Source organism: Homo sapiens, chromosome 22 (assembly GCF_000001405.40).
Source record: "Homo sapiens chromosome 22, GRCh38.p14 Primary Assembly".
NCBI lineage: Eukaryota > Metazoa > Chordata > Mammalia > Primates > Hominidae > Homo > Homo sapiens.
This window is the reverse complement of record NC_000022.11, coordinates 46267719-46294022: the sequence shown is the minus strand read 5'-3', so window position 1 is coordinate 46294022 and position 26304 is coordinate 46267719. Positions and strand designations below refer to the sequence as shown.

The 26304-nt window shown below is 54.3% G+C and overlaps 1 protein-coding gene across 5 annotated transcripts, besides 2 other annotated features; it reads right to left on the bottom strand.

Annotated features, from left to right (window-relative positions):
• Positions 1-14: 14 nt before the first annotated feature.
• TTC38 (tetratricopeptide repeat domain 38) lies at positions 15-26015 on the bottom strand. Of its 5 annotated transcripts, none has more exons than NM_017931.4 (14): positions 25951-26015; positions 25432-25509; positions 21607-21688; positions 19954-20125; positions 18602-18775; positions 15362-15437; positions 12305-12424; positions 9991-10050; positions 8744-8782; positions 6869-6950; positions 5435-5600; positions 4462-4621; positions 4124-4197; positions 15-1232 (listed from the first exon to the last, which is right to left on the bottom strand). In NM_017931.4, the coding sequence occupies exons 1-14, from the start codon at positions 25981-25983 to the stop codon at positions 1139-1141; spliced, it is 1410 nt and encodes a 469-aa protein (NP_060401.3). In that variant the 5' UTR covers positions 25984-26015; the 3' UTR covers positions 15-1138. The 5 variants fall into 5 exon arrangements, with proteins under 5 accessions (NP_060401.3, XP_047297394.1, XP_047297395.1 ...); XM_047441438.1 differs by lacking the exon at positions 25951-26015 and adding an exon at positions 24734-24881 and having other exon boundaries at positions 25432-25499; XM_047441439.1 differs by lacking the exons at positions 15-1232; positions 4124-4197; positions 4462-4621; positions 5435-5600; positions 6869-6950 and adding an exon at positions 7709-7857.
• Positions 25739-25948: a silencer, noted in NCBI's record as "silent region_13908". NCBI's record gives its function as "represses an Ori minimal core promoter by ATAC-STARR-seq in GM12878 lymphoblastoid cells {active_cell/tissue: GM12878}" and the evidence as "EXISTENCE:reporter gene assay evidence [ECO:0000049][PMID:35858748]".
• Positions 25959-26118: a silencer, noted in NCBI's record as "silent region_13907". NCBI's record gives its function as "represses an Ori minimal core promoter by ATAC-STARR-seq in GM12878 lymphoblastoid cells {active_cell/tissue: GM12878}" and the evidence as "EXISTENCE:reporter gene assay evidence [ECO:0000049][PMID:35858748]".

Here is a 26304-nt window from a genome sequence, read left to right as displayed (position 1 = left end):
AGATGCTCAAAGACTTGGAGGAACTGATGAATTCATTTTAATCACAGAAATTTGCCTGGGCTTGAGCAAACTGTGGGGACTCAATAGATTTGGAGGCCTCCTCTCCCTTCTGAGAGGCCTGCCTGCTTCCTGCCCTGATGAATCCCTAATTTCAGTACAAACTGAGGAACTTGAAAAACATCTGTGCACTGGGACCGCCCCTCACAGGAGGGCTGAAAGCAGCACAGCTGAGTCAGCGGCACATTCAGCAGGCGTTCAGTGGGGAAGCAGGAGACAGAGGCGGCGCTCACAGGACCCGCTCCAGGCTTGTCACAGCCACACATCACAGCACTTTGGGTTTTGCCACAACAGAGCAGCTCTGAGCTCAATCCTTGCACCTCAGAAGTGCATTTATGATTAAAATCATGCTCGACATGAAGCCCTGTTATGATGTGCAGTTTAAAAAGAGAAACGGGTCCAAATCAGCACCAACAGAGCCCCCCAGGGGGCTCCAAGACTCGCCCCAGAGACAGCAGAAGGACCCCATGTGCGCGCTGATCTGTAAGAAGGGTGGTGGATGCAGCAGCAGGGGGCTGCGTCCAAAGGCAGCAGGTGGGGGCCTCTCATAGTGTGACCCTGGGCAGGCCACTCCCCTACCCCGGTACCCTCACCTGAAAAATGGGACAGCAACACAATGAGACAACAGAGACTGTCTAGAATATAAAGAAAAGAATGAAAAGGTCCATCCCAAGGGCAGCCTGGTGGGGACGGGGACAGGCAGTGGGGGGAGGCTGCCTCTGGAAGACCTGTCCCAGCAGAATCAGCCCCCACCTCTGCCCTGCCTTCCAACCTTTGAACCACCAGGCAGTAGACACATTCCCCTGGGAAACAGAATTTGCAAGGCAGGTGGAAAGAGCAGCACTCACACTGGCTGTGACTGCTGAAAAATGCTCATTGGCCCTTCTCGAGGACTGAAAGGAGATTCGGAATCACATTTAAAATTAACCCGTGACCCACTTCCTGTAAAACTGAAGATCACCCTCTAACAGCCCTAACAAACAGGCTCTGGCCGTCTCCTGACCCTAACCCGGTGGAGCAGCTGACTGGACGCAGTGACGCCACCACTGAGGTTCTGCAGGGTGGAGGCGGCCAGGCTGGCTCACTGCATGAGGTGGACGGTAGCTGCCTTGCGGATGAGCCGCTCGGTCAGGGGCGAGTTGGGCTTCAAGGCATCACGCTCCATCAGAAGGCTCCTGTGGAAACAGACACAGAGGTCCTGTTACAGAACCTTCTAGAGGGATGTGGGGCCTGGTGGTCCCTTGGTCCCAAGGCAGAACACAGGCAGGCTAGACTGCGGCACTGAGGGAACAGCAAGGGCCAAGGCCCAGGGGCAGGAGGCCTGGCCTCAGTTTGGGGAGAGGTGAGGATGGGAGGGCACAGACCTCCAGTGCAGGAAGCCACACCCGAGATGGGGCACAACAGGTGGCAGTGGGGAAAACCCAGGTTTGAAGAGAGAAGACCCAGGTACGGTTTGAGGTAAAGACCCTGCTGTGGACTGAATGTCTGTGTCCAGGCTAAATGTATATGTTGAAGCCCAAATGCCCAAGGTGATGGTATTAAGAACAGGGCCTCTTGGAGGTGATTAAGTCATGAGGGTGGGGCCCTTGTGAATGGGATTAGTGCCCTTATAAGAAGAGATAGGTGTGGTGGCTCACCCCTGTAATCCCTGCACGATGGAAGGATGAGGCAGGAAGATTCCTTGAGCCCAGGAGTTTGAGTTTACAGTGAACTGTGATCACACCACTGCATTCCAACCTGGATGACCGAGTGAGACCTTGCCTCTAAAAATATAAAAAAATTTAAAAAGAAAGAAGAAAGAAGAGACGTGAAAGAATTAGCACTCAAAGGAAAGGTCATGTGAGGACACAGCAAGAAAGTGGCTGTCCACAAGCCAGGAAGAGAGGCCTCAGCAGAAACTGAACCCAGCCAGGCCTTGTTCCTGGACATTCCAGCCTCCAGAACTGTGAGACAGTGCATGCCTACTGTGCAAGCCGCCCAGACTGTGGCACTTTTATTTTTTAATTTTTTGAGATAGAATCTCCCTCGGTCACTCAGGCTGGAGTGCAATGACGCGATCTCGGCTCACTGCAACCTCCACCTCCCAGGTTCAAGCGATTCTCCTGCCTCAGGCTCCCGACTAGCCGGGATTACAGGTACCCACCACCACGCCCGGCTAATTTTTTGTATTTTTAGTAGAGGCGGAGTTTCACCATATTAGCCAGGCTGGTCTTGAACTCCTGACCTCAGGTGATCCACCCGCCTTGGCCTCCGAAAGTGCTGGGATTACAGGCATGAGCCACCGTGCCCGGCCTGTCTGTGGCACTTTTAAAATAACAACCCAAACTGACTAAGACAGCCCCCAAACACCTGAAAACAGTGGTTCTAGAGGGCGTGGGTGGTGTGAAGGGGCTGGGGCCGGGAACTCATTGTGGGGGGCACCATGGCTGTGGGTGGAAGGTTTCCCACCTTGGGGGCTGGTGAGCTGTGCTGATGGCCCCATGGATGCTGCCTGGTAGCAGGACAGGACTTGGAGAGAAGGCCCCCTCCACGTCTCCTAATGCAGTCGGCTCCCTGTGCAGCCTGCTCTCCCCCTGCCCTCCCCCACTGGGCCCCGCAGAAGGCCACATCGGCACTGCCGCACTGCCCCACAGATGTCACCCCAGCTCCATCCTCAGCCCTCCTGTCCACACAGCCACTTTCCCCACCGCTGCTGCCAGAGGCACCAACTCCCACCCACACCACAGCCTGAGCTCCCCAGGGGGCTTGACCACCAAAGAAACACGCATGGTTTTGTCTACAGCCATGGAAGGGGAAAGCGGGGAGCATGCGTCCAAGACATTTTACAGTTCTAGGCGGTTCCAGTGCTGCCAGCCAGACCTGTTTCATGAGTACCACAGAACCTGTACAGCTCAGTTTGGGTAACCCTGCCTGGAGGGAGCTGCGCTGGTGCACCTGCGCCTAAACCACTGGGCTTGTCACCAGCCAAGGGCCTCCTGTGGACCCGGGCTGCCACCTGCTCTCACAGCACACCTTCCCCACCAGGCACCCCATGACTCCTCTATTCTTCCTTTCACTTATGTCTGAGGGTGGCAGGGACATGGGCAAGGAGAGGTGTCAAACTCGCCGCTCAGGCACACGGGCTACGCAGCTGCTGGCCAAGAGCTCAGCAGCCTAAGTGGAGGGAGGCAAGCTGGGCCATGGAAGCACCAAGGCTGCTGGCAATGGTGAGGGCTCTTTGGAGTTCCCCCAGCACTCTCATCTGCCAGCTATGCCACCCTCCTGACACTCGCCTGCCAGCCACACCACCCTCCTAACACTCACCCTCCAGCCACGCCACCCTAACACACCTTCCAGCCACGCCACCCTCCTAACACTCACCCTCCAGCCACGCCACCCTCCTAACACTCACCCTCCAGCCACACCACCCTCCTAACACCCTCCAGCCACGCTGCCCTAACACACTCACCCTCCAGCCATGCCACCCTAACACTCACCCTCCAGCCACGCCACCCTCCTACCAGCCCCATGCCTGGCCTGGCTAAACCCACTGTGGTTTCGGGTCTGCCCTCAGCTGCTGCTCCCTCAGTGCGAGTTTACGTGTCTGTGGGACTGATTGCTCCCTGTCGCTCCCCCGACTACAGATGGGCTCCTGGTAGCCAGTGACTGGTGTGCCTGCTCACTGCTCCCTCTCGGTACCCAGCACAGGCAGGCAGGTGAAATGAGCTGAGGTCTAACTGAGCATTAGGTGTCGGCCAGGTGCAAAAAAGGAGAAAGGGTGTTCCAAGCGTGCAAAGGCCCAGGAGCCTGAAAGAGCAGGACGTGTTTACGTACCCAGGTAGCTTAGCAAGGCTAAAAGGGAGTGGGCTGGGAAGGGTGGGAGGTTGGGCCTGGGGTGGGGCTGGCTCCACTTGGTCACACTGAGCCTGCTAACAAAGGAGAACCAAATTCCCCACAGCCTCCCGACCTCACAGCCTCAGAAGCAGGAGCATCTCGGGCCAAGGGTGGTGGGGCTTCCAGGCACTCCTGAGGTCTGCAGGGAGAGCCTGTGAAGGTCGGGAGTGCTGGGCAGGGGCCAGGAGCTCACCGGGCTACGTTCTTATGGACGCTGGAGGTGCAGTTTAAGGCCGCGTGAATCAGCAGCTGGTTGAAGACGTCTCTCTGAAATGTCAATCGGGCATGTGAGTCTCCTGTACCTCAGGATGGGGGAGGCGAGCCCCCGCCCACCGCGGGCTGCCTGCTCTCCAGGGAGACAGTGGTGTTGATGCCACACCCTCAACGACGAACTTACACGGCGGGAGTGTGAGAGACACGTTCACACCCACATTGTTGGCACCAACACCATGGGAGAAACTTGGGGGCTGCGGGGCGCCCAGACTCCCTGGCCCAGGCCCTAGGCACCCCAGCTGGCGGCCATCGGCTCACCTGGGCATTGCTCCCACCGAGCTGGACGATCCGGTAGCGGATGGGCAGGAGCAGCTCCAGGACGCGGTCAGGGTTCCCGTCCTCAGCCTCCACCAGGGCCTGGCACAGGGGCAGCCCCACGTCTCGGGCCAGGAGGTGCTGGCAGTTCTCCCCTGGGGATCTGCGAACCCAAGACGGTGCCCTCAGCTGCCTGCCCATCACAGAACATCCGGGAAGGGCAGAGCCATTTCTTCCTCAGCGAGGTGTCCCTGGTCCAGTGCCTGACACATGCCACACTGATGAGGTGAGGTGACAGGCGGGGCAGCCCATCGAGGGGACAGGACAGGGTACTGAGCTCAGAGCTGGGTTGGAGTTCGCCCACTTCCAGCTACCTGGTCCCCCACCTTCCAGCCTCAGTTTGCTCATCTGTAAGCAGGCATAACAGTGCCAATCTAACAGAACCGTCAGGATTGCTGATAATACAGGCAAAGGCCTGGCACTGCAAGCCAAGGCAATCATCACCCCCGGAAGGGAATGGGCAGGGCAGCCCAGGTCCTCCAGGTCAGCCCTCACCAGCTCTTGCCAGGCATCGCCCTGATTTAGATGGGGAAACTGAGGTTCAGAGCACAGAAGCACCTCGTCCAGGACCTCAGGGCCTGTAAGCAGCAGGTGTCTCTGGCTTCAGGGCTTCACTGTGTCCTCTCCACGGGAGGCAGCCCTGTGACCCTGCGGATCTCATACCCACCCTGGGGATGGAGGCAGCTCTGTGTCTTGGGGCAACCAGTTGTACAGCTGTGGGTGTACACACCTTGGGGGTCTGCACCAGGGGATGCACATCTATAGGGGTGCACACCTGGGAGCTGCCTCCATGGGCATCCCCCCTGCTGCACTCACAGGCGGGGCAGGCACTGAACAGGTCTCAGCATGGCCCTAGCACCCCCTCACCCTCTCGGCAGGGTGAGGACCCCCACCCCGAGAAGGCCCCTCTGCATACTCGCTGGCGTCCCGCAGGGTGGTCAGCAGCTCCTGTGTGGTCTGGGGGTCGTGTGCACCCAGGGATGCCATCAGGAAGTGTGCGTCATTGAACAGCAGGATGTGGTCTCGGCTGTGCTTCCGGGCCACAGGCAGGACATCCTGCCACCGCTGGCCCACAGACACTCCTGAGGACATGGGGAGGAGACCCAGGGCCTGGAGTGAGGCTCTGGGGCATGTCCCGTGCAAGGGCCTCCCTCACGGCGCTTCCCTTGGAGGCCTTGATGACCCTGTCCCAGGTGAGAGGCCGGGGAGGTGGGCAGGGCCACGGGCAGCGTCTGGCCTTGTGCTTAGGCCTCTATCAGGACTGTCTAATTATAGAGGCCATAGACGCGTAAGTAGGAAGCACATTTTAAAAAGTGTCAAAGGTTATTAAACAAAGCCTCTGGCCGCTTTGACAAACCCTAGGCCTCTTGGATCCCCCGGCCTTCCCACACAACCCTTGGCTTCCCAATGGATCCCCCGACCTCCCCAAGGATCCCCCAGGCTCCCCACTTTTCTCTGGGTCTCCAGCCTCAGCCTGCCCTTCCCACAGGTGGGCTCCCTGGCTCCTGTGCCCCTCAGCCTGCTGTTGGCCCATCTGACCACATCAAGCCTGCCCTCCAGCCCCTTGTCCCGCAGCAGGCTGCTGGCTTCTATGTCCCGGTAGCTTTGGATGGTCTGCTTTCTCTGAGAGTAACTCTTTCCCTTGTCTCTGCCCAGCAAGCCCCACATATGCTTCAGTAGCTCACATTTCACCTCCACTAGGAAGCCTTCTGAATCTCTAGAAACAGCCTGCCATGCCCTCCCTCAGGTCCCTGAATTGCTCAGCCCTCATCGTACTGCTGACCCAGGGCCTAGCCCAGGCCTCTGTGGTTCCAGGGTGACTCTGCTGAGCCTGAGACAAGGGGAGAACCATCTGGCACCCCAGTGGTTGGCTAGAGCCCTCAAGAGCCCCCAGAGCTGTGGTTGGTCCCTCCAGGCTACCTGCAGAGCATGACAAGGTTGAGAAACCTGTCTACAATCCCAGGGAGTTGAGAAACTCTCTCATGTTTTAGGAAAGGAGGTGGCATCGAGACAGGTGGCCAGGTGCTACCAGTGCCCCGAAGGTTTGGCAGGCAGGCCAGCCATGGGAACAGCACAGCAGGTGCCGCCCTGGGTGCAGAGCTGGAGGCGTCCACATCGAGGAGCGGTGGGAACTGGAAGAAAGAGTAGTGTGGCCTGGACACCCTCTCCAGCTTTGGGCCAGCTGGGAGGCAGCTGCAGAACGGTACCCAAGGCAGTGGCCAGGCCTGCAGAGGGGTCTGGAGCGGCTCACCCATGAGCTCTTGCCCAACCCTGGGCCTAGGCCACAGCACCCTCTCCTCATGATGTGGGAGGAAGAGGCAGAAGCCAGTGGGGCTGCAGGGATGGCTACCTTCCATCTGCAGGCGGTAGAGCATGGAGCAGCTGTCCACCACGTCCAGCATTGCATCGTTGGCCTGCAGGCTGGGAAGGATCTGGAAGACAGGGCGGCCAAGGCGGGCTCAGCGGGTGGCCCAGATGATGGGGCTGCAGGCACAGCCAGGGTCAGCCTGTCCAGGTGGGGTGGGGCCTGCATAGAGCAAGCCCTCTGCCACTGTCCCCATCACCTCAACTGACAGGCCCATCACCCTTGCCTGGGGTGTAGACTGCTCCAAGCACTAGAGGGGTCACCAGGTAGACCTGAAGAAAGAGCCCACTGCATTGCATACCCAGGGCCCAGGCCAGGCCCAAAGCATCTGCCACCTCCCACCCCTGGGCCTCAGACCACACTGGTGGGAGGGCTGTCTGCCCGATCACGTTTCTAGACTCAGCTTTGCTGAGGAGCCCACCTCGAGCTCACGGTGTATGTCACCCTTCATTTCTTTCTTTCTTTTTTTTTTTTTTTTGAGATAGGGTCTCCCTCTGTCGCCCAGGCTGGAGTGCAAATGGCGCAAGCTTGGCTAACTGCAACCTCCGCCTCCTGGGTTCAAGCAATTATCCTGCCTCAGCCTCCTAAGTAGCTGGGATTACAGGTGCCCACCACCACATGCAGCTAGTTTTTGTATTTTTAGTAGAGATGGGATTTCACCACGTTGGCCAGGTTGGTCTCGAACTCCTGACCTCAGGTGATCTACCTGTCTCAGCATCCCAAAATGCTGGGATTACATGTGTGAGCCACCGTGCCCGGCCCACCCTTCATTTCTTACTACAGCTTCCTGACCGTGTAGAAAGGATTACTTCAAGGGAAATTTACTGTGTGTTTTTCTCTGATGTTTAGATCCCCAGATCACAAGCATTTCTGTGGTCCCAGGCTTTTCTGATGAAGCCATCCCTGGGGTCCTTGGGAGCTGTGAGTCAGGCTTCAGGCTTTTTTTTTTCCCCCTCTCAAAAGAATGCCTGGGCCTGGGGAGGAGGAATGGGGAGTTAGTGTTTAATGGGTATAGGGTTTCAGTTTGGGTAGATGAAGAATGTTCTGAAAATGGAGGGTGGTGATGGTTGCAAAATGTGAATGCACTTAATGCCACAGAGCTATACACTTTTTTTTTTTTTTTTTGAGACAGAGTCTCACTCTGTCACCCAGGCTGGAGTGCAGTAGCGTGATCTTGGCTCACTGTAACCTCTGCCTCCTGGGTTCAAGTGATTCTCGTGCCTCAGCCCCCCGAGTAGCTGGGATTACAGGTGCCCACCACCACGCCTAGCTAATTTTTTTGTATTTTTAGTAGAGACAGCGTTTCACCATGTTGGCCAGGCTGGTCTTGAACTCCTGACCTCAAATGATCCACCTGCCTCGGACTCCCAAATTACTGGGATTACAGGTGTGAGCCACCACACCCGGCCTTGTACACGTAATTTTATGTTATTTTTATTTTATCACAGCAAAGAAAAAAAATTCCAGCCAATCGCACCATTGCACTCCAGCCTGGGCAACAAGAGCGAAACTCTGTCTCAAAAAAAAAAAAAATTCCTATGGGTAGACCAGTTGTCTTACCAAAGAAAAGTGATCTGAAAGGGCTGGAGGAGAGTCCACAATTGCAGAGGTGAGGCCCTTAGATGTGTAAATCTATCAGCACCCTCGAGTTGAGCAGGGCCAACCACTGTCCCCATCATAGGCAGGGTTACAACATTGCTCTTGGCAAAATTAACCCCATGAGGCCTTACACAAGAAATGTGTTCTTGCTCCAGCTGTTTTTCTGGCTGGGACAATCCTGATGAACTCAAAAATCTGGTCTCTTTGAGACTCAAAGGCAAAATGCTGCAACAAACCAAACACGGTGTGAATGCAACTTACGTGGGTATCGTAGATGGTCAGCGCGGCCTCATATTCGCCCTGGAAGAATAAAGTTCTCCTTATTAAACCCTGGAGAAGGCAAAGTGTAATGCTGGCACGTGAACTGAGAACGGCCAGGCCAAAGACCCCTGAGCACATGGTCTCCGGCCTCCACCTCCTCTCAGAGGTGGACGGACGGTGTCTTGGTGGCATTCGGGATGGGAGAAGGTGAACCCGCTTCCAACCGGGGCTTTGGTTCCCCAGTGTAGAAAGCACAGCAGCACCTGTGCCGCCACCACTGAAGAAACAGTTGCTGTGGAAGCATTCTCTCTCCTAGTGGAAAGTTAATATAGGTATTGCTCATACTAACTGCTGCAAGCTTTTTCATGTATTTCTTTCTAGCCTTTTTCTTTTTTTTTTTTTTTTTTTTTTGAGATGGGGTCTCACTCTGTCACCCAGGCTGGAGTGCAGTGGCACAATCTCGGCTCACTGTAACCTCCGCGTCCCAGGTTCAAGCGATTCTCATGCCTCAGGCTCAGGACTACAGGGAGGCGCCACCATGCCCGGCTAATTTTTGTATTTTTAGTAGAGATGGGGTTTTACCATGTTGCCCAGGCTGCTCTCAAACTCTTGACCTCAAGTTATTTGCCTGCCTTGGCCTCTCAAAGTGCTGGGATTACAGGCATGAGCCACTGTGCCCAGCTGCCTTTTTCTTTTCTGCATATGTTTCCTCTCCTGTACATTTAGCTGGGTTCTGTGCTGTCTTCCAGACACTGTATCATCACATTCTCATGTCATGACAAGGCCCTCATGTTCTCAGCATTTCTCACTTTATGGACATTCAGGGAGCTTCTAGCTTTTGTGCACGATAAGGAGCACTGCAAGTGACAGTCTTGTACATGGAACCCTGTGGCGGAATCACTGGGGTCAAGGGTGTCCTGAGCAGCTGCCCCATAGCCTGGCTCCCGTTGGAAGATCTCATGGCCCAGGCAGGTACACCCTGCGGAGTTGGGGCTTGGCTCTCCACTCCAGCCACAGGCACTCGCTCTGAATGGTCTCTGCAAGTTATACACCACAGATGTGATTTCCAGGCCTCCACAGTGAAAAAATCCCTAAAAAGGTTGAAGCCTAGAGTGCTCTTTGGAAATGTTAATGCTCCATTGCATCAGGGCTCCAACGGATGTGAATACATAGCAAAAGCTAGAAAAATCTTTCTCCCTCTAGACATCTTTATAGGATAAGACAGTGCAAACAGATGGTCACCTTACCTTCTCAATCAGATATAAAGCCCAGTGCCAATAGTTATGACAAGCCAACATATCAGAGTCCTGGAGAAAAAAAAAAAAAGAGAATTTATGAAAAGTCTGAAGGCCTATGGGAAAAAAACAAATGTTGTTTTGTGCTAATGCAGAAACCATCATCTTTTTTTTTTTTTTTTTTTTTTTTTTTGAGACTAAGTCTGGCTCTGTTGCTCAGGCTGGAGTGTAGTGACACGATCTTGGCTCACTGCAACCTCTGCCTCCCGGGTTCAAGCAATTCTCCTGCCTCAGTCTCCTGAGTAGCTGGGATTACAAGTGTGCACCACCACACCCGGCTAATTTTTGTATCTTTGGTAGAGACAGGGTTTCACCATGTTGGCCAGGGTGGTCTCGAACTTCTGACCTCAGGTGATCCGCCCGCCTCAGCCTCCCAAAGTGCTGGGATTACAGGCATGAGCCACCGCGCCTAGCCACAGAAACCATCATCTTTGAGTGCAGGAAACAATATTCTGCACTAGGTGCCTCCAGGCCACATAATCTTCTTCCATTCCGAAGGGCGGTGAAGAAATTATGCTGCATTTACCAAGGAGGAAACTGAGGCTAGGGGAGGTTCCCAACCTACTCGCCTGAGCTGGGGAGCAGCAGCCCCAGGACCGGTGCAGAGGAAGTTACTTCAGCAACTCCAGCTTTGCCTTCCTCACATGTGAAGTTGAGAAAAGGATTAACAGAACCACTCCACAGGGAGGTGCGAGGCCCATGGGTGCCTAAACAGCTCAGGGCACTTGGATAAAACTGCAAGGATCAGCCGGGCACAGTGGCTCATGCCTGTAATCCCAGTACTTTGGGAGGCCGAGGCAGAAGGATCAACTGAGCCCAAGAGTCCAAGACCCACCTGGGCAACATAGGGAAGAGACCCTGTCTCTCTAAAAAAAAAAAATTTTTTTAATTAGCCAGGTGTGGTGGCACGCACCAGTAGTCCCTGCTATTTGGGAGGCCGAGGTGGAAGGATCGCTTGAGCCCAGGCGGTCGAGGCTGCGGTGAGCCCTGATTGTGCCACTGCACTCCACCTTGGGCGACAGAGAGAGAACTTGTCTCAAAAAAAAACAAAAACAAAAACCTGCAGAGATCAACAGGCCCAGGGCCACACTCCAACAGGTGCTGGCAAAGCCCCGAGAGCCAGGGGAGTGGGTGGTATGTGGGTGGCTACCTTAGGCTGCCCTCAGTATGAAGCAGTGTTAAAGTAGGACCTGTGCTGGGCTCAGAGCTGGCCCCTGCTAGGGTATTTCCAAGCTCAGGAGACTGGACTCGTGATCCTCAACAAGCTAGAGTGCCCAGCACTCAGAAACCTCAAACAAACCTCAGTGTCCCTGAGAAGGGAACCTGACCACTGCCCCCTTGACAGAGCCGAATCTGGAGGCCCGAGGATCCTCCGCAGCAAGGCTCAGACTGCATGGCCCCTGCTTGGGAGCCAAGTGCACACCCTTCCCTGATTTCTTGCTGCCCCAAATACAAAGCAGGTATTCAGTAAACGCTGAGTGAGCGACGCTGTGTCCCTGTCCCAGGGGAGGCCCCATCTCCCTTGAGCCCAATAGGCTCACCTGATGCAGCCCCGTCTGTCCAGAGGGCCCACCTCCACCATGGTGCTAGCCTTTCCTTCCCTGAGGCCTCTGCAGGCGTTTCTGCCTCTGCCTGGACACCACCTTGCCTCCCCTGGAAAGAGGGACTGACAAGGCCTCCTGCACAGCCCATGTCCGCCTTGTACCTGGGCTCTAGGACACCAAAGTAAGCAGCTCTCCTCTCCCTCACAGGCCACTGTAGGCCTTGGAGGCCTTGCTCAAGCTAGTGACGGGCTAGGATGCCCTCCATCTTCCCCCTCTGTGTGGCACACACCTGCTCATCCTTCAGTAGCCAACTCAGAGGTTGCCCCCTCCAGGATGCCTTCCCTAGCCACTGTCCCCCCAAGCCCAGTTGAGTTTAATGCTTCCTCTGCGTTTCCACATCCCACAGAGGGTCCCCGTCATGGTGCAGCTCATGTGCTTTGAAGAGGCTGCTCGCTCCTCCTGACCAGGCCCTGTAAGGACAGAGAAGTCTGGGCTGGACCCTCAGTGGAGTCCCTAGGGCAAGGTATGGGCCTGGGGTGGGGACTGGAATCTTGATTGCATTCTGCTCAGCAGCCAAACACCTGAGGCAGGTGCAGGTGGAGGAGGAGAGGGAACCCCGAGAATTAAGCCATGCCCTGTAACTCTTGTCCATAAAGCCTTGGCCTGACTCAAGGGGATGCACTGAATTTCCCAGGGAGGTGACCCATTGACAAGCATCATACCTTCCAGAAGGTCTCTGAGTGCTGCATGAATTCCAACCCATCCTTGATCTCTGCTTTCATCTCGTGGATGTGAGCGACGGTGTGCACCGACCATGCGTCTGTCGGGTTAATAGATAAAGCCTACGCAGGGTGCGGGGAAGAGGATTCCAGATAAAGCAGATCAGTCAGGCTGCCGGGGCAGGCGACGGCAGGTCTCTAAGGGGCAAGAGGGGCCTGGGCTGAACGGGGTGGAGCAAGTGGGGGGGCGGGGCTCTGACTCAAAACACTGACAATTAGCACCACTTCCTGCCTGCCCGGGCACACCAGCTCATGGGTCTCACTGCCCAGTTCACAGATGAGGAAGCTGAGTCTTAGGGAGGCTATGCGACTTCACCCAGCTGGACAGCAGCAGGATCTTTCTAAAGCCAGGGCTCAGACCCAAGCCCACAGCATTCTGCATACAGCTGAGGTGCTTGCAAAACATACCCGCCCTCTCTGGGCCTCAGCTGCCGCCTGCCTGGAAGGCCACGGATGCTGCCTTTCTCTTAGAGAAGTGGTTACTGCCCATGTGAACGTGGTGTGAACTATCAAGTCCTCCAGTGGCTGTGACTGCCTCTTCCCACTACCATATATGTGAGGACACGTGGCTTTCTGGGTGCAGAAACAGCTGGCTCTGAGGTTATCACAGTTCATGACAACAGCCGCTCCCATGACCTGTGAGCTTGACAGCGACCAGCGAGGCAGGCAGGACTCATGGAATGATCCTCCCCTCCTAGCCGTTTCTTTCTTCTATTTATGTGTTCAGCTCATGTTTGCTAAGCATCTACTCAGCCACAGTCAGAGCTTAGAAAATGGAGCAGTAAACTGAGGCTCACAGAAGCCCCATTGCCTGGCCTGTGCCCAGGTCCCCCATGCCAAATCATGAGTTCCCGCCAGCCCCACTGCCTCAGTCTCCCCACGCCTTTCATAGGGGTCCAGAAGCCCCAAGCTCTTCTGCCCTGGCCCAGCACCTCCTGTGAGGCTTTTGGCAGGAGGTCGGCCCCAGCAAGCCCTGCCTCCCTGCCCACCACTCAGCTTTTGTGGGCCCAGCCCACTCCATGTGGGAACAGAGGGAAAGAAAGTGTGTCTGTAGGGGACCGTGGGCACCCCTGGGCAGGGGCTCTGAGTACAGGACACTTGGGCACAGTCTAAGCAGGGCGGGCGTGGGGCCCCGAGACGGGACCCTGCTAAGCATGCTGCTTTCACGAATGGCAGGAGTGAAGGGTGGTGGCTGTCACCAGCTCTGATGAGCTGACTGGCATCTTCCCTCTCTTGGAGCCCTCCCATGGTTCCGTGGGAAGGAGTCCAAACTGCATTCCCAGGCTACAAGGCCCAGCAGAATCCAGTCCTCACCTGCCCCTCTACAGCCCTGGCTCCTGGAGCCCTGGCTTGCCGCCTCCTCCCTAAGCCTCCACCCATTGAGCCACTTGGATGGAGCTCCAGGTCCCCAAGCTCTGTGGCTGTGCCTGTGCCTGCCGCCTGCCTGCTCCTGCCCTGGCTCCTCCTACCCTCACCAGCCTGGGGCTGCAGACACAGAGCCCATGTGTTACCACTCCTGGCCCCATCACAGCCTGCTTTTCCTGCCCAGTAGTTGTCTGTGGGGTGCTGGTGTTGAAGACAAAGAGTTGGTGCCTGCAACACAAGGGACAGGAGGCGAAAGGGGAGCAATGGAGAAGGGAGGGGACCCTATCCACCACTTCTTGCTCCTTGCAAGGCATGGGCTTGCATGTTTTTTTGGCCACCCTCAGTGCGGGGGACTTGCCACATCTGGTTTGCCACAGCTACCCTTGTCCAGAGCTTCTCCAAATGTCCCAGGAGCTCTCAGGTGCCCAGATGGATGCCACCCACAGGAGGGCCCAGCTACCATGGTCTCCAAGGGACTTTCCTACAGCTGACCCCTGGATGGTGCTGTCTGGTCACCCAGGCCATGGAACCAAGACTGTCAGAAAGCCACTCGGGTCCCCCACCTGCCCTGACTCAGAGTTAAAGCAAAGAACACATCACTCAAGCCTCAAGTCTCGGATTCTGTAATCAGAGCAGTCTTCAGAGAGCGCAGCGACCCTTGGGCCCCAATGCTGTCTCCCAGAGAGGATGCTGCAGGCCGACTAGGGCAACTACTGGGGGAAGAACCCCAGCCAGGATGTTGGGAGGCAGGGCCTGGAGCAGGCAGCTGAAAGGACAGCCATTGCCAGGTAGCCTGGGTAGAATCCGGCTCTGCCATCTCTGAGCCATGTGGTCTTAGGCAGGCTCTAGCCTTGGCCTCTGAGCCTTGGGCCCCTCATCTGGGCAACAAGGAGTTGGACATCACGTGGGCAGAGCTGTGTGGATGCAAGCAGACACACATGAAGTGCCACACAGAGCCGGGCACAGGAGCAGCTGTCACTCCCTTGTGCATGGCAGCCCCTCCATGGGCCTCAGTTTCCACTCCTGCAAGAAGAGGAGTAGAGGAGAGGGACCCCCAGAGCGTGAGACCATTCGCGCCCCAGGCCTGACAGCTGCAGCCTGCCACCCAGCCCTGGGCCCAGGTACACATGGGCACCCAGCAATGATCATGACTGGCGATCATCACTCAGCTCCCTGAACCTCTGGTGCCGTGAGTGATGCTTAGAAATGCGAAGTTCAGGAAGGAAGAGCCAACGCTTATTTACACTTCTCCTCCTACAAAGTCCTGTCCCAGCAGGGCAGTGTGGGCTCCGGAGCCAGGCAGAGCTGGTGGGAGCCCAGACCTGCCATTCTGTGCAACCCTAAGTGAGCAGGCTGACCACAGGCTCCCCGTACCCCATCAACCTCATCTGTAGACGTGGATCCAGTGTTAGCCAAGGAACGTGGCTCTGGGGACTTTGGGGGGGCCACAGGTGAATGACAGCCCCTGGCGGGCGGCAGCTGCTCACACTAACATGAGCTCCCCAGTCTCTCTGAGGAAGTGAGACCAGGGATGGGGTTCGCCGGGGTCACACACGAATGGTGCCCCTCATATGCCCTGGTCCAGCCAACGGCTACTCCCTGAGGGGTCAGGCACCTTAGGAAGGACCCACTTACCTCTTTGGCGAGTTTTTCTGCCTGGTCGTAGAAGTTGGTTTCCATCAAGCCAAAAGAGTAGATGCCTTTCACATAGCTAAAAACAGAAAAAAAGATCTCAGAATACAAAATGATGGATGGGTAGCAGGTTGAACTGTGTCCCCGCAAAGATACACTGAGGTCCTAACTGCCAGCACTGGGAATGTGACCTTTTTTGGAAATAGGGTCTTTGCAGAGGTAATAAGTTTAGAGGAGGTCATACGGGATTAGGGTGGGCCCTAACGCAATGACTGGTGTCCTTACAAGAGGGCCGTGTGAAGACACAGATGCCGAGGGAAGGCGGCAGGTAAAGACCAAGGCAGAGTGATACAGCTGCGAGCCAAGGGACTTCAAGGAACTCTGGGCACCACCAGAAATTGGAAGAGGCAGGAAGGACCCACCCCTGAGGCTCTGAGGGCACTGCCCTTGCTGACACCTTAGATGGGACTCTTGGCCCTCAAAGCTGTGAGTACCTGTCTGCTGCTCCAAACCACCCAGTTTGCAGCCCTTCGCTACAGCAACCGCAGGAGACTGATGCAACCTCCAACCCCACGCCAAGCTCTGTGCTTGTCAGCAATTCCATGCTTCTGACTGGTGAGGGGCAAGGTGAACATTACATCCGCACAATCATCCCCAAGCCCAGCACGGAGAGCGGCCCTGCTCCTCAATTAGCATCCCACCTTCTAAGAATCAACACGGGTCTCCACTGAGAGTAACAAGGGTCTCCTCCCGCTCCTGTCTGCATGGTGACATCCACCCAGAGGCATGACCCAGGGGCACCTCCCTGGGAAGCCTCCGTGACCTGTGGGCTGTCAACAGCTCCTCCTTGACTTCTGCAGTGCTGTACACAGTCCCCTGCCCGGCCTGGAATGCACTCAGTGAATGGCCGGGTCCTCCCCAGACCTGGAGCTCCCACAGGCTGGGACCTGTCTGTCCAACTCAGCCTCAGCCCAGGCCCAGCCCAGGATGGGCTAGAAGACACTGCTGAATAATTGCACGCTTCCAATCTCTCTCTTTTTTTTTTTTTTTTTTTTTTTTGGAGACAGAGTCTCGCTCTGTTGCCCAGGCTGGAGTGCAGTGGCACAATCTCAGCTCACTGCAACCTCCGCCTCCTGAGTTCAAGCAATTCTCCTTCCTCAGTCTCCTGAGTAGCTGGGATTACAGGCACATGCCACCTCGCCCAGCTAATTTTGGTATTTTTAGTAGAGACGGGGTTTCACCATGTTGGCCAGGCTGGCCTCAAACTCCTGACCTCAGGTGATCCACCCGCCTCGGCCTCCCAAAGTGCTGGGATTCCAGGCATGAGCCATTGCGTCCCGCCCACACTTCCAATCTCATCTGCAACTGCGCACCCGAGTATCTAGGGTGGTCACACATGAAACAAGTTTTCTTTCCTGTGGTTTCTCGGGGTTAAGTGAAAACAAAATAGGGCAATAGGGCTTCTGTTTGAGACTAAGATGTTAGCTTCATTACTTTGCAAGAAGACTGATTCTAGCTTTTGTTATTCATTGAAGCAATGTTCTTAAGCACTGGCTTCCAGAGTTATCTTTAAAATGTATGTGTGTGTGTGTGTGTGTGTGTGTGTGTGTGTGTGTGTATGTATATATATGTATTGTTTACTGGGGTCATTTAATCCTCAACACTTAAGCTATTTATTGTATGTTTGCTGTGTGTCAGGTACTATTAGGTTTCATGACGGTTAATTTTTATCTGTCAATTTGGCTGGCCCGTGGTGCTCAGCTGTTTGGCGAAACACCAGTCTAGGTGTTGCGGTGAAAGTATTTTTTATATATATATATGTTTATATATATATATATATTTAATATATATATTTTAATATATAATTTTTAATATATATTTTAATATATATTTAATATATATTTTTAATATATGTATTTTATATATATTTTTTTAATATATATATTTTTAATATATATATTCTTTTAGATACAGAGTCTTGCTCTGCTGCCCAGGCTGAGTGCAGTGGCATGATCGCCAGCTCACTGCAGCCTCAAACTCCTGGGCTCAAGGGAACCTCCCGCCACAGCCTCCTGAGTAGCCGGAACTACAGGCACATGCCACCATGCCTGGCTAACTTTTTTAATTTATTTTTTCTTTTTGTAGAGACAGAGTCTTGCCATGTTGACCAAGCTTATCTCAAACTCCTGGGCTCAAGCAATCCTACCGCCTCAGCTTCCCAAACAGCTGGGATTACAGGCATAAGCCACTGTGCCCAGTCTCGTGAAGGTATTTCTAGATGCGATTTGAGTAAAGCAGATTACCCTCCATGTGGGTGGGCCTCATCCAATCAGTTAAAGGCCTTAAGAGAAAGACGGAGGCCCCTAGAAGAAGAAATTCTGCCTGCAGACTGCCTCCAGATGTAAGACTAATGCTGACTCCTGCAGCGATTTCCAGCTTGCTGCCCTGCCCTACAGATTTTGAACTTGCCAGCCCTCACACTCACATGAGCCAATTCCTTAAAATAAATCTCCATCTCTCTCTCTGTCTCAGAGCTCTCTGGGCTTCTCTGGAGAGTGCTGACTAAATAATACAGCTTATTAACCTGTCCGAACCTCACAACTATTCTGTAATGAAGCTGCAGTGAAGTCAGTCCTGTGTGGTGGTCACTGGGGCTGTTCATGCACATTCCAGGCCTTCTTCTCTTCCCAAGCACACGGTAGAACTGTACTTCCTGGTCTCTTGTGGGTGGGTGAGGTCATGTGATCAGTTCTGGCCAATGACTTGGGAGTGGCAGGGTATCCTTTCATTCTAAACCTTTAATTGCCATTGTAAGCCCCCCAAGGAAAGCTTGCTTTTCCCTCTTAGTGACAGGTATGTCCAGAGGGCAGTTGCTTCATCAGCTGGGATCCCAGATGGAGACAAGGACATGGTGGCAGAGCCCTCAGCCCTTCTAAGGTAGCCACGTAGTATGAGTGAAAAATAAACCTTTGCTGTAATAAGCTTTGGGGAAGAAGAACCAGGGGATGTTTATTACTGCAGCAAAAACAATCCCATGCTGACTGATACATAATGGTACTACCTCATTCACAGGTGGGATGAAAATCAAGTGAAGAAAATGAGGCCTTTGAACTTTAAGGAACTAGGAGAATAGCAACAGTGGTCCCATTATTTTTAGGACAGGGCCAAGAGAGTCACCATATTTTTAGGGCAGAAAAGAGAGATTAAGAAACAGAAATAATGTGATTTCCAGCTGGCACATACCTGCTTAGGGGGATGTCAGGTGTCCAGAAGGGGTAAATTCGAGCAACAGAATCTCTCATCTGTTCCTGATAGCCCAGGTAAAAATAAGCATCATGGGAAAATTTCAGGGCCAACATGTCTGTCGGGTGGTCCTGGAGAATCTGTTCCCATAGTTCACAGGCTTTCGGAAAGTTCCTGGAAACCGAGAAAGATTTCTCACCAACGCTGAACACATAGTCCACCCACACAGGGAGTGTAAGAGGCATTGTTTCTCACCAGTGTCATGGTCTACATGGATGTGTTTTTTTAAAAATCAGTTTCTGACTGGGTGCGGTGGCTTATGCCTGTAATCCCAGCACTTTGGGAGACCAAGGCAGGTGGATCACGAGGTCAGGAGTTCAAGACCAGCCTGGCCAAGATGGTGAAACCCCATCTCTACTAAAAATACAAAAATGAGCAGGGTGTGGTGATATGTGCCTGTAATCCCAGCTACCCGGGAGGCTGAGGCAGGAGAATCACTTGAACCCGGGAGGTGGAGGCAGTGAGCCGAGATTGCGCCACTGCATTCCAGCCTGGGCGACAAGAGCAAAACTCTAAATAAATAAATGTAAAAAAATCACTTTCTATGTTAGGTTGTGAATCAGAAAACAAACTGAAAACCCAGTGGGAACTTTTACTCTTTAGTTCAATTTAAAAAAAAAAAAAAACTGGTTTAACAAATTGCCAAAGATAATCCCAGTGGAGACCGTGAGACAGCCACAGGAAGTCTCTGAGGTGGAACCCACACCTGGGCTGACTTACCAGGAAGACCAGGCCGCACCTCCCCAGTCTCAGGGTTCGGAATCCCTGAGTCCCTGCACAATCGGCTAGGGTCGCCTAACTCTGCAGGGCATCTCGCCTGCCTGAGCAGACATGGGGGCTGTCCCGGAGAATGAGGGAACCAGCATAGGAACAGCGGGGGGATGATGTGAAAGTCAGTGCAAGAGCAAGGAACTTATGGGTGAAGATTTGATTTGATTGTTTATTTCTCACTAGAAGAAGCATGTTTTCTTCTCTCTTCCCTAACCTAGTAATTTCTGTAGTGTGACCCTATTATTTTTGTAAGGAAAATAATATATAATTTACTTAATGAAACAAAGCAAGTTACTTTGGACACTAAGTTGGGAATCTTCACCAACTGCTTCCTCACTCAGCACTCCACCAAGAATAGGGAAGCAGACAGGATGCGATTTTCCATCAGAGCATCTCAGGAGGCAGGGAGAGAAGCATTCTCCCACCCCGCCCCCGTCCCAAGGGCATCAGGAAAGGGATACCCTGCCACTCCCCCAGCTCAGCCTCAGGGTGCCAGCTCCCAGCCCAGGGAGGCCCCTCACCCATTGGCAAATGTCTCTACTGCAGACACGTGCAGCTGCTCCCGCCTTGTCAGCGGCTGGGTTCTTGAAATCTCCACCATTGTCTTCACAGCCAGGTCCAGCTCTTTGTCCAGCTTCACGGAGCTTCCAGTGCCAATCAGCACAAGGCCAGTAGCCATGGCGTGGCCCATCACTGGTGGGAGGTTAGAGAACGGCTGGTGGTTCAGATGGTCCAGCTCAGCCCATCCCAGCCCAGACTCCACATGTCACAGAGACACCCCACGTCCCAGGAGGGGCCAGCCAGGCAGCAGCAGGCTGGGCACTGTGGCCCTGCCTACTGTCTAGAACTCAGCCTCGGCTCTTGTCAAGCATGGAGGGAACTGCAAGCCTAAAGGCACCCTTGAACATTTTTCTAGTGAGGGCATTCTGCTGAGTGCCAGTGTCTAAAGCACCTTCCCCCTTCAATGGATGAGCCACTTAGAGGCTGCCTGCAGGCTCATCAGCTGACACTACCGCCACAGCCAGCACACGGCTCCCGGGAGGCATCAGTGGATGCTGCTCATAAGGGGCTGGACCAAGGAGGCCCCGGAGCACAGAAGTCATGATCCCATCTGTGCTGCTCACACATGCTAAAAGTTAGGGTGGGGGTGAGTGCCTTGTGGCCCTCGCAGCAGCCTTGCTGGCAGGAGTGCAGGCCCCCAGGCCCCACTGTGGGAGAGCCAGGGTGTCCACTGGCATTTGGAACTTGGTCACTGGCTCAGGCCTGGGACCCAGGACCCAACCATAGTGTGCTAGGACCACCCATGTGGACCCTGGAAAACAGCTGGTGATTCCGATGGTCGAGCCCAGCCCAGCCCAGCTGATGATTCAGGTGGTCGAAGCCCCCTGATCAGGGCTCAAGGTCTGCTCAGAGAGTCCGAGCCCACCCCTGGCTCCTGGCTCCCCATGACTGGGTTTGGCTCCCCCGTTCTCCCCCAGTTATTTCCTTGTTTGTCTTCTCCAGGGCAGTACAAGTCCCCTGCCTTAAGTCTGACTAGGCTGCAGCAGGGTGAGAAGGGTGTCCCTGCCGCACTGACAAGAGCCCTGTCCCCTCATCAGACCTTCTCCCAGGCCCGGAACCTTGCCGCACCACGGGACCACCCACCTGCAATGCACTGTGCTGGCTTCCCCATGCCCGCTGTACACATGGCTTGCCTGGATGCCAGCCTCTGTCACCACCTCACCCTGGCCACTCTGGATGAGGCCTCACTGGTCCCCTGACGGAGGCTGCAGCAGCCACCTCTCATGTTCCAGGGGTCTGGGCCTTGGATTCAGGAAGCTTTATCTAATCCCAGGGGTCAACCACCAGCTGGGTGGCTTTAAGTACAGTCTTACTCTTGCCAACCCTCAGTTTCCTCATCTGAGAAATGAGATCAGCATCTTCATTCCCGAATTGATGGTAATTAAAGAAAAGATGAGAAAAATGCCTTCTGATAGAACCTGGCATCTTTATGGGAGTGACTGTTTTTCCAGACACAAAGGCAGCTGTCATCTTCTCTCCCTCTGTGCAAATGCCACCCTGGTTGCTGCCACCCAACCTGCCTTCCCCATCCCAACTGTGTCCCTGTGGTAAAGGAAAGAGAGGGGCTGGATGTGTGAAGCGGGGCTCCTCCACCCAGGGAAGGCGTTACTCACCAAAGGTTGGATCTGCTGCTTTGAGCTTTGACAGGCAGCCCTCGATGCCACCGAGACTCTTGTCATTGGTCCATTTTACATACTGAAATGGGAAAAGCAAAACAAGTCCTCACGGAGCCCTTGGATCATTCTAACAAAGGTGGCTCTAAATCCAGGTTTACACTTTGGGAGGCCGAGGCGGGCAGAACATCTGAGGTCAGGAGTTCGAGACCAGCCTGACCAACACGGTAAAACCCCATCTCTACTAAAAATAGAAAAATTAGTGGGGCGTGGTGGTGCATGCCTGTAGTCCCAGCCACTTGGTAGGCAGAGGCATGAGAATCACTTGAACCCGGGGGCTGAGGTTGCAATGAGCCAAGATTGTGCCACTGCACTCCAGCCTGGATGGCAGAGAGAGACTGTCTCAAAAAACAAAAAATAAAAATAAATCCAGATTTGTTTTTCTTTGTAGAACACTGAGTATTTTCTGGACTCTAACCCAAAGAAGGCATAACCTGGCTGATAACTTTCTTCATACGAAGAAATGAAATACACATCACCCAAGGCACACTTTCTAGGGCTAGGGATGCTGCATTTCCAAAAAAGAAACATCAAAAGGCAGGTTCTGGCTGGGCGCGATGGCTCACGCCTGTAATCCCAGTACTTTGGAAGACTGAGGCGGGTGGATCACTTGAGGGCAGGAGTTTGAGACCAGCCTGGCCAACATGGCAAAACTCTGTCTCTACAAATAATACAAAAATTAGTCAGGCGTGGTGGCACATGTCTGTAGTCCTAGCAACTTGGGCGGCTGAGACTTGGGTGGCTGAGACAGGAGAATCGCCTGAACCTGGGAGGTAGAGGTTGCAGTGAGCTGAGATCGTGCCACTGCACCCCAGCCTGGGTGACAGAGAAAAGGAAAAAAAAAGGCCAGGTGTGGTGGCTCATGCCTGTAAGCCCAGCACTTTGGGAGGCCGAGGTGGGCGGATCATGAGGTCAGGAGATCGAGACCATCCTGGCTAACACGGTGAAACCCCCGTCTCTACTAAAGATACAAAAAATCAGCCGGGTGTGGTGGTGGGCGCCTGTAATCCCAGCTACTCGGGAGGCTGAGGCAGGAGAATGGCGTGAACCCAGGCGCCACTGCACTCCAGCCTGGGCGACAGAGTGAGACTCTGTCTCAAAAAAGAAAAAAAAGAAAAAAGAAAAGAAAGAAAAGGCAGGTTCCTCCTGACAGGTGACCTGCTCCACATCGGCTTCTTCTGCCCTAAGAGGAGCCCTGAAGTTGGTCACGATAGGAATATTCCTGCTTCTTATTCATTCGTTTTAAAAATATTCACAGAAAACATTTATTTTAGAGAGTTAGAAAGACACAAAAGCTGAAAGATAAAACTTACCCAAAGCTCATTTTATCATTTTTTTTTTAATTGAGACAGAATCTTGCCCTGTCACCCAGGCTGGAGTGCAATGGCACGATCTTGGCTCACTGCAACCTCTGCCTCCAGGTTTCAAGCAATTCTCCTGCCTTGGTAGGAGAATCCCTCCTTAGTAGCTGGGATTACAGGTGTGCACCACTGCGCCCGGCTAATTTTTTTTTTTTCTTTTTTGAGATGGAGTCTTGCCCTGTCACCCAGGCTGGAAGGCAGTGGCACTATCTCAGCTCACTACAACCTCCACCTCCCTGGTTCAAGAATTCCTCTGCCTCAGCCTCCCGAGTAGCTGGGATTACAGGCCCATGCCACCATGCCCGGCTAATTTTTTTATATTTTTAGTAGAGACAGGGTTTCACCATGTTGGCCAGGCTGGTGTTGAACTCCTGACCTCAGATGATCCACCTGCCTCAGCCTCCCAAAGTGCTGGGATTACAGGCGTGAGTCACCGCGCCCAGCGCATCATCATTTTTAACAATTTGCTGTATTTGTACCTGGTCCTTTACTCAAATGCCTGTTTTAAAAAAAGTCCTAGACCTATAATCACACATTAGATTTTAAAATATGCCCTTTCAGCTGTCTAACCTACATCTACACAGAATTAGTACGTGTATTTTTTTTTTAAGACAGGGTTTGCTCTGTTGCCCAGGATGGAGTACAGTGGCACAATCACAGCTCACTTCAGTCTCAACCGCCCAGGCTCAAGCAATCCCCCTGCCTCAGCCTCCCAAATAGCTGAGACTATAAGCTACGCAAGCATTTTGACAAGATACAGGAGGGTTGGCACAGAGATTTAAAGAAGCCAAGTTCTAACACAGGACAGCACAGAGACACCAATACACGGGACAAAATATACCCAGGCTGGGAGGATGAGCTGCCACTGATTGGGGATGTGGTGTGTAACAAACTGAGTACTAGGGGCCGGGCACAGTGGCTCACGCCTGTAATCCCAGCACTTTGAGAGGCCAAGGCAGGGGAATCACAAGGTCAGGAGTTTGTGACCATCCTGACCAACATGGTGAAACCCCGTCTCTACTAAAGATACAAAAAATCAGCTGGGTATGATGGTGCGTGCCTATAATCCCAGCTACTTCGGAGGCTGAGGCAGGGCAATCGCTTGAACCCGAGAGGCAGAGTTTGCAGTGAGTCAAGACTGCGCCATTGCACTCCAGCCTGGGTGACAGGGCAAGACTCCGTCTCAAACAAAAAACAAATCGAGTACTCTACAGAGGCCGGCGAGATACAGGAAGGGCAAGTGAGCCAGGTCAAACACAAAATAAACAAACAACTCAGATGCCCACAGCAGAGTCCCTTGGCAGGGCAGGCTGGGAACAGGAGAGGCACCCATGGCGCAGCTCACAGCATTCCATCAGTCCTCTCTTGTTCAGCCCGTAGGCTTCTAAGAGCTACCTGAGTCCTCCTGTTATGTGGATGAAGTCAGTATGCAGGGGCCTCACCACCCACGCCAAGGTCAGCTTAGGTTTCTATCAGTGCAGTTAGGCCCAGGTTCATCCTGGTTCTGCCTGTAATTCATGGACAACCTTCAAGTCAAGTAGGTTCAACTCTGAGCCTCAGTTTCCCCACTTGTCAAGGAAGCTAGTTGGATCTTACTTCTGAGACTTCTCCTAGTTCTAAAACTATAGGACCCTTCATTGGTAGAGAAATGACTGGTAATGTGGCAGAAGGTCTTGGCACAGCCTAGGTGAAGGCAGTATACTCACAGATTCATCCCAGGACAGGATCCCACGTCCTAAGCAGCCGAGCCCTGCATCAGACCCTCAGCAGGCCACAATGGGAGGCCCGGGGAGGCCAGCATCCTCAAAAAACATCCCCACTGCACCCACCGCTGTCCACCCACCACTCAGAGTCCTGGGGAAGAAGGGAGAGTGCAGAGGCCCTTTTAGGACGCTGTGGGGGGGGGGCAGAGATATGTCCCCACCCTCCCACGTCCTCCAGTACAAAGTGCACAGATGTGCTGCCATCTATTGCTAAGGTCATGGCGCAATTTAAAAAGCTTTCCCCATGGCCGGGCGCGGTGGCTCACGCCTGTAATCCCAGCACTTTGGGAGGCCGAGGCGGGCGGATCACGAGGTCAGGAGATCGAGACCATCCTGGCTAACACGGTGAAACCCCGTCTCTACTAAAAAATACAAAAAAAATTAGTCGAGGGCAGTGGCGGGCGCCTGTAGTCCCAGCTACTCGGGAGGCTGAGGGACGAGAATGGCGTGAACCCGGGAGGCAAAGCTTGCAGTGAGCCGAAATAGCGCCACTGCACTCCAGCCTGGGCGACAGAGCGAGACTCCGCCTCAAAAACAAAACAAAACAAAACAAAACAAAACAAAAAAACAGCTTTCCCCAATTAAAAAACCTTCCCCTAGACCTCCACAGAAGGGGCCGCGGCCTCTCTCGGCAGGCATACCTGGGTCAGCGTGGCATCGAACAGCTTGCAGGCTTCGTTGCTTGTGGTGGAGAGCGGGAGCCTCGCATCCTTCCAGGCCTACAGACGGCAAGAAGGGAATAGCAGTGCCTTCTCTCCAGGAGCCCTTCAAACTTCAACACACACACGTCTCCTGGCCCCTCTGACCTCCACCTTCCTCATCTGTAAAATGGGCTCAGGCTCCCAGTCCTGGGCCGGTTCCAAGGAGCCCCTTACCTTTGCGGGCTTCCCTGCGTCCCCAGCCATGCCCAGTGAGCTACGTTTTTTAGGAGGTCTTGGGGTCTCCCGAGTACCCTGACAGGCGTCCCTTATTTCCCTCGGTGGGGACTCTACAAGAAGGGCCTCGGGTCCCTTCCAGGCGTTGCCGCGGACGCGCCCGTGCGCCCAGGGCTCACCCCACGCCCCGCGCCCGGGCCATGTCTCCCGTTATTCCGCCAGCACCGGGCCACCCCCAGGACCCGGGGCCCGAGGGGGACCTGGTTGGGGGCAGCCTCCGTGTACCTGGCAGTCGCGCAGAGGCGAGGCTGCGGCCATGTTGCGCCGGGTCGGAGTCCACCGCGAGCTCTGGGCACCCGGGCCTTCCTGGGAGTGGGCGGGGCGGTCGCGGAAAGGGGCGGGGCGGGGCGGCCGCGCTCTCCCGCTCGCTCACTGGTGGGTTTCGGACAGACTGGCCCTGGTCCAGGATCCGGGCCCGCCCCAGAGGCCCGACCGGACAACTCTGCAACGCGACGGGTCCCTTGGGAGCAGGGAGCTCCGGGACAGCGGTCACTTTCAAGTTTATGTCGTTGCGGTCGGCAGCTACCCGCGCGCGCACGGCACACACTCACTTGGCGTTCGGGGCCGGCTTCACTGGGT

Excerpts from the sequence above, each read along its gene's own strand:
- TTC38 (NM_017931.4), bottom strand. The coding sequence starts at position 25,983 with ATGGCCGCAGCCTCGCCTCTGCGCGACTGCCAG. Across the intron at positions 18,776-19,953 it reads GTAGAGACATTTGCCAATGG|GAACTTTCCGAAAGCCTGTG; the intron begins GTGAGGGGCCTC and ends CTCGGTTTCCAG. Across the intron at positions 1,233-4,123 it reads GTCCATAAGAACGTAGCCCG|GAGCCTTCTGATGGAGCGTG; the intron begins GTGAGCTCCTGG and ends CTGTTTCCACAG.